Source organism: Homo sapiens, chromosome 9 (assembly GCF_000001405.40).
Source record: "Homo sapiens chromosome 9, GRCh38.p14 Primary Assembly".
Taxonomy (NCBI): Eukaryota; Metazoa; Chordata; class Mammalia; order Primates; family Hominidae; genus Homo; species Homo sapiens.
In genome coordinates, this window is record NC_000009.12 from 70,323,036 (window position 1) to 70,336,041 (window position 13,006).

The 13,006-nt window shown below is 37.3% G+C and overlaps 1 protein-coding gene across 12 annotated transcripts in view; it reads left to right on the plus strand.

Annotated features, from left to right (window-relative positions):
- Positions 1-13,006, plus strand: part of SMC5 (structural maintenance of chromosomes 5) — a 95,896-nt gene that overhangs the window by 64,058 nt on the left and 18,832 nt on the right. For all 12 annotated transcript variants that reach the window (NM_015110.4, XM_005251837.3, XM_005251839.3 and 9 more), the window contains 2 exons: positions 448-571; positions 986-1,108. In NM_015110.4, the coding sequence (NP_055925.2) occupies positions 448-571; positions 986-1,108 (247 nt within the window). The remainder of the gene's footprint in view (positions 1-447; positions 572-985; positions 1,109-13,006) is intronic.

Genomic DNA, 13,006 nt, shown 5'->3' on the forward strand with positions numbered 1-13,006 from the left:
TTGTTGCTTCCATCCTTTGTTCTTTTCTCTTCGAGGCAACATGGTGTAGTGGAAAGAACATGGACTTTGGTACCAAACACATCTTAACACTTAATATCTGTGATTTTAGGCAATTTACTTCACTTACCTGAGCCTTAGTTTCTTCATCTTTAAAATTGAGAACATACTATTAACTTTTAGGATTATTGTGTTGTGTTTTTTGTTTGTTCGTTTCTGGTTTTTAGCTATTAACTCTCCCCACTTTAGCTCCTTAAGGGAAGTGACTGTTTTATAAACAATATTAATAGCAACAGAAACAACTTATATTGATTGATCGGTTATGGGCCAGGCACTATATATCTGAAAAGTATTGCTAAATATATCCCAGAAAACTGGGGGGGACCTAAGAATTTGGGATCAATTCTTATGTTTAACACTGATTTCTTCATTATTATATGTGTCATACAGTTTAAAGCTGATGGAACAGGATACTTGCAATCTTGAAGAGGAAGAGCGAAAAGCAAGTACCAAAATCAAAGAAATAAATGTTCAAAAAGCGAAACTTGTTACCGAATTAACAAACCTAATAAAGGTAAGGTATTGTTTTAATTTTAGTCATTTTTTAAAGGAAATAGCGGGCAGATAAGATAGTAAAATCTTTAGAGGGAGGGAAGGTTTTGATTAAGGTTTTTGACATTTTAGTTATATAAGCAAGAGATCTTTATCATCAGTTTCAGCTTGCTTAGTTGCTTGACATTTTCTTTAGAGGTAATAAATAGGATAAAAGCACTCATTAAGCTAAATGTGTTTATTCCAGATGACTCTCTTAAAAACAAAGGAAAACACTTTCTAAAAAATTGTTACAAGAACTGTTTGAGAGAGATGTCAGGCACAATAGGAAAATTATTTTTTCATGGTTTATAATTTTGTTTTAAAAAACTATACATTTTTTAGTTCTAAAACATAGGTAACATAAAAATTAACTCTTAGGGGTTTTTGTTCCTAGATTTGTACTTCTTTGCATATACAAAAAGTAGATTTAATTCTCCAAAATACTACAGTGATCTCTGAGAAGAACAAATTAGAATCAGATTATATGGCCGCATCTTCACAACTCCGTCTTACAGAGGTAAAATTTTTGCCTTTACTTTTTATTTTGAGGTTCTAACCTCAGACTGGTTTGAAAATATATATCGTGTCATCACTAGCAATATATAGTTTGTTGTTTTATGCTATTTAACTTACAAATTTAATGCATCATGTTGATGAGGAAGTAATACTTAAAATACTTAAGACTGGTTGAGTAACTTCAGCAGTTTAATCTTTTGTTAATATCTGACTGTGAAATGATAAACACAGAAATACTGGGTGGAGGGGAGAGCATGTGATATACCATATTAACTTAAAACCGGAAGGAGAGCTGGCAATAAGATGGTAGTGGCAGTGGCATAGTTTTTGAATCTCCAAAATCTTTTCCCAAAAACAGAAGAGAAGCTAGAATAATATAACAACAAACCTGTGGACAACACGTATAACAAAACTAAGTTTCAGGGTATCCATGTGGGCATACTGCAGTACTATTCTGACGCTAACCATCCTGGTCACTATCAAACTGTATACCATAGGGGCTCGGTTCCCAAAAAGACCACCCTTACTTCAGACACCGTCTTCAAGTTTAGGGGTCTCCAGGTCACTTGTATTTCTGACCAACTAGCTGCAAATTCAAGAGTTCCTATGACCCCCACTCAGGTTCAATAATTTGATAAAACAACTCAGAATTCGAGAAAGCACTATTCTTAACGATTATGATTTTATTATAAAAGATACAATCAGGACTAGCAAAATTAAGAGACACAGGGCAACCAACATTTTGGAGGTTCCTAAACTCAAAAGTTTCTTTACTCTTTTCTTGTGCAGTTAGGGTACATCACCCTCCTCACACATCTCCTGGTTCACCAACCAGTGGGCCCTACCAGGCTTCAGTACTCGGGTTTCTTATTGGGGTTTCATTATATAGACATGGTTGTTGATTGAATCATTGGCTATGTGGTTGAGCTTGATCATCAGCCCTCTTCCCTGGAGTTTGGGAAGTTGGGCTGAAATCATGTGGCTCAAAGACATGTGTATTGCTCAAATCATACAGTTGATCTTTGTGGCATTTTCTATCCCCATCCTGAGTCATATTCTTAGCATTAACTCAGGAGTGATCTAAGGGGCTCACGAGTAATACAGACTTTCCTATTGCTCAATTCCAAGAACTTTAGAGGAACCAGCAACAAAGCCCAGTCAAATTCTTTATTATACAACACCTGTGAACTCCAGAATACAAGTGCGTAAAATAAATCAGCAGCAGCATCAAGACTAGCATGGTATCAGCAAGGGAGGGCTCAGAGAATCCAGATATCAGACTGCCAGCATCCTGATCATCTCTAAAGGTCTCATTAGTTGTAGAACACTTAGAGATCAATTTGAGAGCAGCTAAAACTGAGAGGCAACTTTATAGACTTCAGAAAGGTTGGATAGTGCTGGGGTGATCTAGCCCTGTGAACTCTCAAACTAACTGATACTCCTTTGCAGAACAAAACTTCTTACTGAAGAGAACTAGAGCTACATGATAAAGGAGATCATAAAATATATATTCTATAGTTATAAGTCTGACAATGTAACTAAAGCACATTTCTCTGAAAATGCAAGAAGGGAGATAATGCAAGTAAAATAGAATATATTTACTGATTGTCCTATAGGTATTTTCAGGAAATAAAAAGTTATTACTTCATATTAGATGTTTTGGGAGAGGAAAATAAGAGAGATATTCAAAATTATTTATAGTAGGGAGCCAATAGATAGTATCCCCCAAAACTATTAAGGACATAAGGATATTATATAAGATATTTGCATAATAATAAACTTCAGAATAAAAATAAAAGTCTTCCTAAATACCAAAAAGATACACAAAGACAAGAGACTGGCAGGGCAAGAAAATCACATAACTAAAGACTAGATATTTTATTTACAGATATAAGAGACATAAAAACAAATATGACATAAAACAGTGGCAGAGCTAAGGTCAAACATCAGTCATATTATTAAATGCAAATGGATATAATTCACCTATGAAAATATTTTTTGGAAGTAAATTCCAACACTGTGCAGAATGTGAGAGGTACATCTAAAAGAAAGAGATTGAGAAAGCTTTAAAATAAAAGGATGGATGGGTGCAAGGGATCTTTTTGGTGATGGAAATGTAAAATTGGACTGTGGTGATGTTTACATAGCTCTGTAAATTTGCTAACAGTCATTGAATTGTACACTTCAAGTGAGCGAATTTTATGGTATGTAAATTATACCTCATGAAAACTTACGTAAATGGATGAGCAAAGGTGTACCAGGCAAATGGAAATACAAATTTTAAAAAGTTTAAATATCTCAATATGCTGCTATGCAGTGATATATATATTCTTAGGTCAAAAAAGAAAGGAGAGAAAACTTTATAGTATGTTACTATCAAAGAAAGGATCAGGGAAAGTGATTACTTTGACTTTATGTTGGCTTATTTAAAAATTACAATGATAAACCAGAATCTTTTTTTTTTTTTTTTAATTTTTTTTTTTTAGCTGGGGGTAGGAAAAGACAAGGTTAAAAGCTACACTCATCTAAATAGATCTTATATTTTTTCCACTTTGGAACCATCTGCCAGCAAAACTAAATGAAATTTTCCAAAAAGACAAGCTTAGTAAAAGCACAGTGAAACAAATGCATCTAACTTTGTTTTGAGTTAGCAACATAGCCTAACAGAGAAAAATTATTCCAAATGACTATAAAACACTGTAATGATTCTAAGGGCAAAAAAAAATTGCAAAAAAAATCATGTACTGTTTTCAGTAATCATAATGTTAATATTTGTAATGTTATTCTGAAAATATTATAGAGTAAAGCAAACAAGTAGTTACGTTAATGTAATTACAGTTTTTCAGCATAAGAGAAAAGGGATTCAGATATAAAAGAAGATACATAATAAAACCTTAAAGCTTTTAATTTGAATGTAAATATCGGAATGAACTCACAATGTATTTTCTCAAAAAAACAAACATTTCCTAGCTTTGTCTACTAAAAAGACCTAGATTATGACTTCTAAATACTATTTTCCACTAAAGTGGCCCACTGGAGAAATGGCTGATTTCAGGTCCAGGAGAAGAAATGTTTATATAAGATTAGCCATGATCATCTTTTCATAACAAAAGTCAAAGAAATTATCAGAGATGACTTGGTTATCAACAGGACCCAGGAGCCTACATGAAGAATCGTATACCCGCCATACATGAAGAGATAATAGATAGAAACTTATCAAAAATGTCTAAATGCACAAGTTTATAATGATGCTAAAATAAAATAATATTGGTCACTTTGGAGGATACTGGGGAACTGGCTCTTGACTTTGAAAAATGGTTAGAGAATTTTGCATTTATCCTGAAAATATGTCTAAATGCACAAGTTTATAATGATGCTGAAATAAAATAATATTGGTCGCTTTGGAGGATACTGGGGAACTGGCTTGTGACTTTGAAAAATGGTTAAATAGAGAATTTTGCATTTATCCTGAAAATAACAAATACATGATGAAGAGAAGTTTATCTTTAAAGAAGTAATTTATAAACAATAAAGGAATTAGGCTGTTACTACTTTGCAGCTGCTAATGAATCGGATTACATTAGTTTCCAGCATCACAAAAAGATAGCCAGATATTTACATGTACCCTAATGAAAGGACACACCACCACTGTGGAATAGGGTATCTCTTCTCACACTGCTAAAAAGAACTACCTGAGACTGGGTAGTTTATGAAGAGGTTTAATTGACTCCATTCCACAGGCTGTATAGGAAGCGTGGCTGGGAGACCTCAGGAAACTTAACAATTATGGTGTAAGGTGAAGGGGAAGCAAGCATGTCTTACCATGGCAGAGTAGGAGAGAGGATGAGGGGGAAATGCTACACGCTTTTAAACAACCGGATCTTGTGAGAACTCACTATCACAAGAACTACAAGGGGAATCCGCCCCCATTATCCAATCACCTCCCACCAAGATCCTCCCTCAACATTGGGAATTACAATTCAACATTTGATTTGGCCGGGGACACAGAACTAACCATATCATTCTGCCCCTGGCCCTTCCGAAATCTTGTGTCCTTTTCATATTTCAGAACACAATCATGCCCTCCCAGCAGTCCCCCAAAGTCTTAACTCATTCTAGCATTAACTCAAAAGTCCAAGTACAAGTTGAATCTGAGACAAGGCAAGCCCTTTCCACCTATGAACCTGTAAAATCAAAAACAAGCTAGTTACTTCCAAGATATAGTGGGGGCGCAGGCATTGGGTAAATACCCCCTTTCAAAAAGGGAGAAATCAGCCAAAACGAAGGAACTACAGGCCCCACACATGTCTGCAACCCTGCAGGGCAAACATTTAAGTCTTAATGCTCCCAAAAAGTCTTTGACTGCATGTCTCACATCAAGGCCACACTGATGCAAGGAGTGGGCTCCCAAGGCTTTGGGCAGCTCCACCCCTGTGGCTCGGCAGGGTTCAGCCCCCACAGCTGCTTTCATGGGCTGACATTGAATGCCTGCAGCTTTTCTTGGCACACGGTGCAAGCTGTCAGTGGATCTACCATTCTGGGGTCTGGAGGACGGTGGCCCTCTTCTCACAGCTCCACTAGGCAGTGCCCCAGTGGGGACTCTGTGTAGGGCCTGCAACCCCACATTTCCCTTCCATACTGCCCTAGTAGAGGTTCTCCATGAGGGCTTAGCCCCTGCAGCAGACTTCTGCCTGGACATCCAGGCATTTCCATACATCCTTTGAAACCTAAGCAGAGTCTCCCCCAAACCTCAACTCTTGCCTTCTGCACACCCACAGGACCAGCACCTTGTGGAAACTGCCAAGGCTTGGGACTTGCACCCCCTGAAGTAATGGCCTGAGCTATATCTTGGCCCCGTTTAGCCACACCCGGAGTGGCTAGGATGTAGGGCACCATGCCCTAAGGCTGCACAGAGCGGCAGGGCCCTGGACCTGGCCCAAGAAACAAGTTTTCCCTCCTAGATCGCCAGGCCTGTGATGGGAGGGGCTGCTTCTGACATGCCCTGGAGGCATTTTCCCCATTGTCTTGGCTGTTAACATTTGGCTCTTCTTTACTTCTGCAAGTTTCTGCAGCCTTGAATTCCTTCTCCGGGAAATGGGTTTTTCTTTTCTACTGCATGGTTGGGCTGCAAGTTTTCCAAACTTTCATGCTCTGCTTTCCTTTTAAAGTTCTAGTTTCAGGTCACTTTTGTTTATGCAAATGAGCATAGGCTGTTAGAAGCAGCCAGGCCCCATCTTGAATGCTTTGCTGCTTAGAAATTTCTTCCACCGGATGCCCTAAATCGTCTCTCTCAAGTTCAGAATTCCAGAGATCTCTTGAGCAGAGGCACAGTGCTGCCAGTCTCTGCTAAAACATAGCAAGAGTGACGTTTACTCGAGTTTCCAATAAGTTCCTCATCTCCATCTGAGACCACCTTAATCTGGACTTCACTGTCCATATCCTTGTCAGCATTTTGGTCACAACTGCTCAACAAGTCTCGAAGTTCCAAACTTTCCCTCATCTTCCTGTCTTCTTCTGAGCCCTCCAAACTGTTCCAACCTCTGCTTATTACCCAGTTCCAAAGTTGTTTCCACATTTTCAGTTATCTTTATAGCAATGCCCCCACTTCTCTTGTATCAATTTTCTGTATTAGTACATTCTCACACTTCTATAAAGAACTACCTGAGACTGGGTAATTTATAAAGAAAGGGTTTAATTGAATCACAGTTCTTCAGGCTGTACAAGGTGCATGGCTGGGAGGCCTCAGGAAACTTAAAATCATAGGGAAGGTGAAGAGGAATCAGGCACGTCTTACCATGGCGGTGAGAGAGAAGGGGGAAGTGCTGCACACTTTTAAACGATCAGATCTTGTGAGAACTCAGTATCATGAGATCAGCAAGGAGGAAATCCACCCTCATGAGCCAATCACCTCCCACTAGATTCCTCCCCCAACATTGGGGATTACGGTTCAACATGAAATTTGGGTTGGGACACAGAGCCAAACCATATCAAATAGTCTTATTAAAAAAATCAAATTGCAGTCTAAGTCGCTAAAACAGGGTTTCTCACCTCAGCATTATTGACATTTTAGAGTGGATAAATTTTTTTGTGCTTTTTAGAATGTTTAGCAGTATTCCTAGCCTCTGCCTGTTAGATGTCAGTAGTACACACACACATACTTCACCCCAGTTGTTACAATCAAAAATGTCTCCAGACATTTGCCCCCTGGGGAGCAAAAGTACCCCCAGTTGAGAACCACTGGTCTAAAACTACCAGGTTACAATAAATTCAGGACAGGAAGAAATATGTTAAATAACACTGAGGAATACAGTCAGCAAAACCTAGAATATAAGGAACTCTGTAGGATAAATAATTTACTTCAGCACTGTCCAGTAGAAATACAGTGTAAGCTCTACATGTAACTTTCTTTTTTTTTTTTTTTTTTCAAGACAGAGTCTTCACTCTGTCACCCAGGCTGGAGTGCAGTCTCAGCTCACTGCAACCTCCGCCTTCTGGGTTCAAGCGATTTTCCTGCCTCAGCCTCCCAAGTAGCTGGGACTAGCAGGCATACCACCATGCCCTGCTAATTTTTTTGTATTTTTGGTAGAGATGGGGTTTCATTTTGTTGGCCAGGCTGGTCTCAAACTCCTGACCTCAGGTTATCCACCCACCTCAGCCTCCCAAAGGCTAGGTTTATAGGTGTGAGCCACCACACCCAGCCTACATGTAACTTTGTAGTAGCCAGATTTTAAAAAGCAAAAAGTAATGGGTTAAATGAATTACAATAATATATTTTACCCAGTATATCCAAAATATTGTCGTTTCAACTTATAAGCAATATTGAAAATTTACTAATAAGCTATTTTGTATCTCATAGTCTTCAAAATACTTTATACTTAAAACACATCTCAAGTCAGATAGTAAATTTTCATCAGAAATACTTGATCTGTATTCTGACTTTCTGAAACTGATAGTTGAAAAAGTTAGGTTCACATACCCAAGCTGTTCCATTTTCCAGTAGCTAGGAACAAGTATCAGTTTTTAATTTTAAATTTAAATTCAAATTTAAAATTCAGTTTCTTAGTTGCTTTAGCCACATTTTAGTGCTTTATAGCCACATGTGACTGGTTTCTACTTTATTAGACAGTACAGTTTCTAAAATACTTTCAAGGAAAAGTGGAAGGGGAAACCTAAAAGTTTAAAAGGACTTAAGAAATGTATTAACCAAATATAATGTGTATACCTTATTTTGATTCTGATTTAAACAAATCAACTACTTTTAAAAGGTAGAAAAAAACAGGGAGATTTGAATGCTGACTCAGTACTTGATAATAGAAATTATTGATAATGTTTTTAGGTTTGATAGTGGTATTATGGTTATGGGTTTTTTTTTTAAGCCTTTATCTTTTAAAGATACATTGCCACAATATTTATGAAGGAAATGATAGGCTGTCTGGGATTGCTTCAAAATATTCCAGAGAGAGGGCCATTTAGGAAGGGAGTATACATGAAACAATGTTGGTTATGAGTTGATAATTGTTGAAGCTGGATAATAGGTATGTGAAAGTTTATACCATTCTCTCTACTTTTGTATATGTTTGAAATTTTTCATTATAAAAAGTAAAGCTTCCATTCTTCGCGATGATGAAGTAACAGGAACCATATTTACTGTCTCACTGGAAACCACTAAAAGATGTGAGTATGTCAAATAGAGGTTTTCAGACATTGGACAACAGGCAGCACAGGACAGTGATCCTTGAGAGAAGGGGTAGAAAACAAAGTGAGCCCTATGATTGCCTCATCTTACTGCTTGGAAAGAGTTTCCACACCACAATGCACGTAGCATGACAGAATAACACTACAGATCCTATAGACATTAAAGGATATTAAGAGAATATGATTAAAAACCTCATGCCAATAAATTTGACAACTTTGATGAAATGGACACATTTCTTAACACTAAACTACCAAAGGTCACTCGAGAAGATAATAGGTGACTAGACTAACCTTATATTTATTTAAAAAATTTAATTTCTCATTAAAAACTTTACCACTAAGAGAACTTCAGTCCCAAAATCTTCACTGGTTAATTCTACCAAGCATTTATAAAATAATCCCAGCTGAGTGTAGTGCCTCACACTGTAATCCCGGCACTTTGGGAGGCCGAGGCAGGTGGAGCCCTTGAGTCAGGAGTTCAAGACCAGTCTGGGCAACGTGGCAAAACCCTGTCTCTACAAAAAATACAAAAATTATCCAGGCATGATGGAATGCACCTGTAATCTCAGCTAGCTACTCAGGAGGCTGAGGTGGAAGGCTCACTTGAGCCTGGGAGGTCAAGGCCACACTAAGGTGTGATTGGACTACTGTACTTCAGCCTGGGTGACAGAGTGAGACCCTGTCTCAAAAAAAAAAAAAAAAAAAAAGAATTAATACCAGTTCTACTTAAGATTTTCCAGAAGGTGAAGAGGAGGGAATACTTCTTGAAGCATTATATGAGGCCAGCATTACCTGATACTAAAAAGAACTACAGACTAATACCTATCATGAACATAGACCCAAAAATTCTTCATATAATGTTAGCAGGTCAAATCCAACAATATATAAAAAGTAATACATTGTAACCAATTAGGTTTTATCTCAGATGTATAAGGTTGGTTTAATATTTGGATATTCATCAATATAATTCAGCATATTAACAGACCGAAACTGAAAAACTAGATGATCATTTCAATATATACAGAAAAAATGTCAAAATTCAGCATCCCTTCATTATAAAAACTTCTTGCAACTGGGAATCGAAGGAGACTTCATCATTCTGATAAAGGATATCTGAAAACCAACAGCTCATATCAATCTTGGTGGAAAACTGTAAACTGTCCCCTTACAACTGGGGACGAGGAAAATGCCTACCCTTACCACTTCTAGTCCACATTGTACTGGAAGTTCTAGTCAGTGCAGTAAGGCTAGAAAAATTAAATGTATTAAATGTAAAAAAAAACCTCCAAACACAATCATCTTTATGGAAAATCTTAAGGAATCTACCAAAATGCTAATAGAACCATCAGTGAAAATTTAGCAAGATTGTAGGAGATAAGTTCAATATATAGAAATTCATTGCGGCCCCACCTACAAACAATGAACAATTGGCAATTGCAATTTTAAAACAGTACTATTTACAATAGCATCAAAAATGAAATACCTGGCTGGGCATGGTGGCTCATACCTATAATCCTAGCACTTTGGGAGGCCGAGGCTGGAGGATGGCTTGAGCTCGCAAGGTCAAGGCTGCCACGAGCTGTGATTTCACCACTGCGCTTCAGCCTCCTGGACGAGGGGATAAAACCCTGTCATTAAAAAGAAAGGCTTTGGGAGGCCGAGGTGGCCAGATAATCAGAGGTCAGGAGTTTGAGATCAGCCTGGCCAACATGGCAAAACCCTGTCTCTACTAAAAATACAAAAATTAGCTGGGCATGGTGGCACATGCCTGTAATCCCAGCTACTCGGGAGGCTGAGACAGGAGGATCACTTGAACCCAGAAGGCAGAGGTTGCAGTGAGCCGAGATCATGTCACTGCACTCCAGCCTGGGTGACAGAGTAAGACTCTGTCCCAAAAAAAGAAAGGAAAAAAATACTAGGGATATATTTAAAAGACTTGTATCCTGAAAACTACGAAAATTTGATGAGAGAAAACTTTGCTGAGAGAAATTAAATACATGGTGTTCATGGATCAAAAATTCAGGATTTCTTAAAATGTCATTTCTCTTCCAAATCTTAAATTCAATAAAATTCCCAGCCAGATTATAGAAATTGACTTATTCTAAAATGCAATGGACTTAGAAGAGCAAAAACAACTTTGAAAAATAAGTTGCAGGACTCCCACTAATTTTAAAATTTATTATGACATTACAACAATCAAGACATTGTATCTGTATAAAAGTAGATATATATGGATCAATGGAACAGAATAGAGACTCAAGACATCCACATATTTATGGTCAGTTGTTGTTGTTTTTTTTTTTTTTTTGACAAAGATGCCCAGGGATTTCAATGGGGAAAGAGTAATCTTTGTAACAAACAGTGCTGGAACAATTGCATAGTCATATGTAAAAAATGAACTATACCCTTACCTCGTATCATATACAAATGAGTCACAGACTTAAATGTAAGAGCTAAAATTATAAAACTTCTTGAAGAAAATGTAAGAGAAAATCTTAGTTACCTTGGTTTTGGCAAGGATTTCTTAGATAAAATAGAAAAAACACAAATTATAAGAGAAAAAGAATCATTGCATTCATCAAAATGAACAACTTTTGTTTTCGGTAGATGCCATTACAAAAAGGCAGGCTACAAACTGGGAGAATATATTTGCAGTACACCTCAGAGAGGACTTGTATCTAGACCAAGAGGACTATGCCTGTGGGCCAAATCTAGCCCAAGGTCTTGTTTTTGTAAAGTCCCTGTGAGCTAAGAATAGTTTTCATACTTTTTAAAGAGAGAGAGAGAGTGTGTGTATGTGTGTGTGTGTATAATGTGACAGAGACTTTATATGGCCCTCAAAGCTTAATTTCCTTATTGGCCTTTAAAGTTTGCTGACCCCTGATGGATGCTATAAAAATAATTTCAACTATCAATACAAAGAAAACCAACAACCCAGTGAAAAAATGGGCAAAGAACTTCACCGTACTAAAGGAAGTATATGAATAGTAAATAAGCACGTGAAAAGATGCCCAACCTGACTTTACTGGTCTTGGGTAGCAAAGAAAAAGTATATATATGAAAAAGAAAGATGTCCAACCTTATTAGTCAGTAGGGAAGTTTATATTAAAGGCATGAGTTAAACCATAGACTCACTAGAATTGCTAAAATTTTAAAAGACTGATCATACTAAATTGCTGAGAATTTGGAGCAACTGGAACTGTCATACGCCACTGGTGGGAATTTAAAATGTATATAATCACTGTGGAAAATCATTTGGGAGTTTAAGGGCTAAACATATACCTGACATATGAAATGAAAGAATATGTCTATGAAAGACTGGTACACAAATGTGTAACAGCTGTCTTTGTAATAGCTAAAAACTGGAAACAAGGCTGAGGGCAGTGGCTCATGCCTATAATCCCAGCACTTTAGGAGGCCAAGGCAGGAGAATCATGCCCAGGAGTTTGAGACCAGCCTGGGCAACATAGCAAGACCCTGTTTCTACAAAAAGTTAAAAATTTGCCAGGCATGATGGTGAATGCCTGTAGTCCCAGCTACTTGAGAGGCTGAGGTTGGAGAATCACTTGAACCTGGGAGGTTGAGGCTTCAGTGAACAGTGATCATGTCACTGCGCTATAGCCTAGGCAGTAGAGCAAGACCCTGTCTTAAAAAAAAACCAGCAACAACAAAAATGGAGGTTAATGCCCAGCAACACCTGAATGATTAAACAAATTATGGTATGTGGAATATTACTCTGCCACAATAAGAAATGAATTACTGATGCACACATAAATGAATCTCAGTGAAGCTGAGTGGAAGAAACCAGACCAAAAGAGAGCATACACTATATAATTTCAGAGCTTTTGAAGGTGATAGATATGTTTATTATCTTGATGGTAATAGCTTTACAGGTGTGTATATTTGTCAGAATTCATCAAGTTGTCTCCTTTAAATATTGCAGTTTATGATTCCTTGGTTACACCCCAAAAGTTAGGGAAGAAAACTGAAATGAGTTACCAAAAAAAAATTAAGTTAGAGTTTTATCATTTATTTCACTTGTCTTTTTACTAGTATTTTTATTACGTCATTTTAAACATATACAAGAATATGAAGAGTAACATAACATCCATGTGTCCGCTACCCCTCTTTAACAAATGTTAACCCTTGCTGTATTTGTTGTAGATTTTTAAACCTGTTCACGTATTCAGAGTCTCTTTTTACC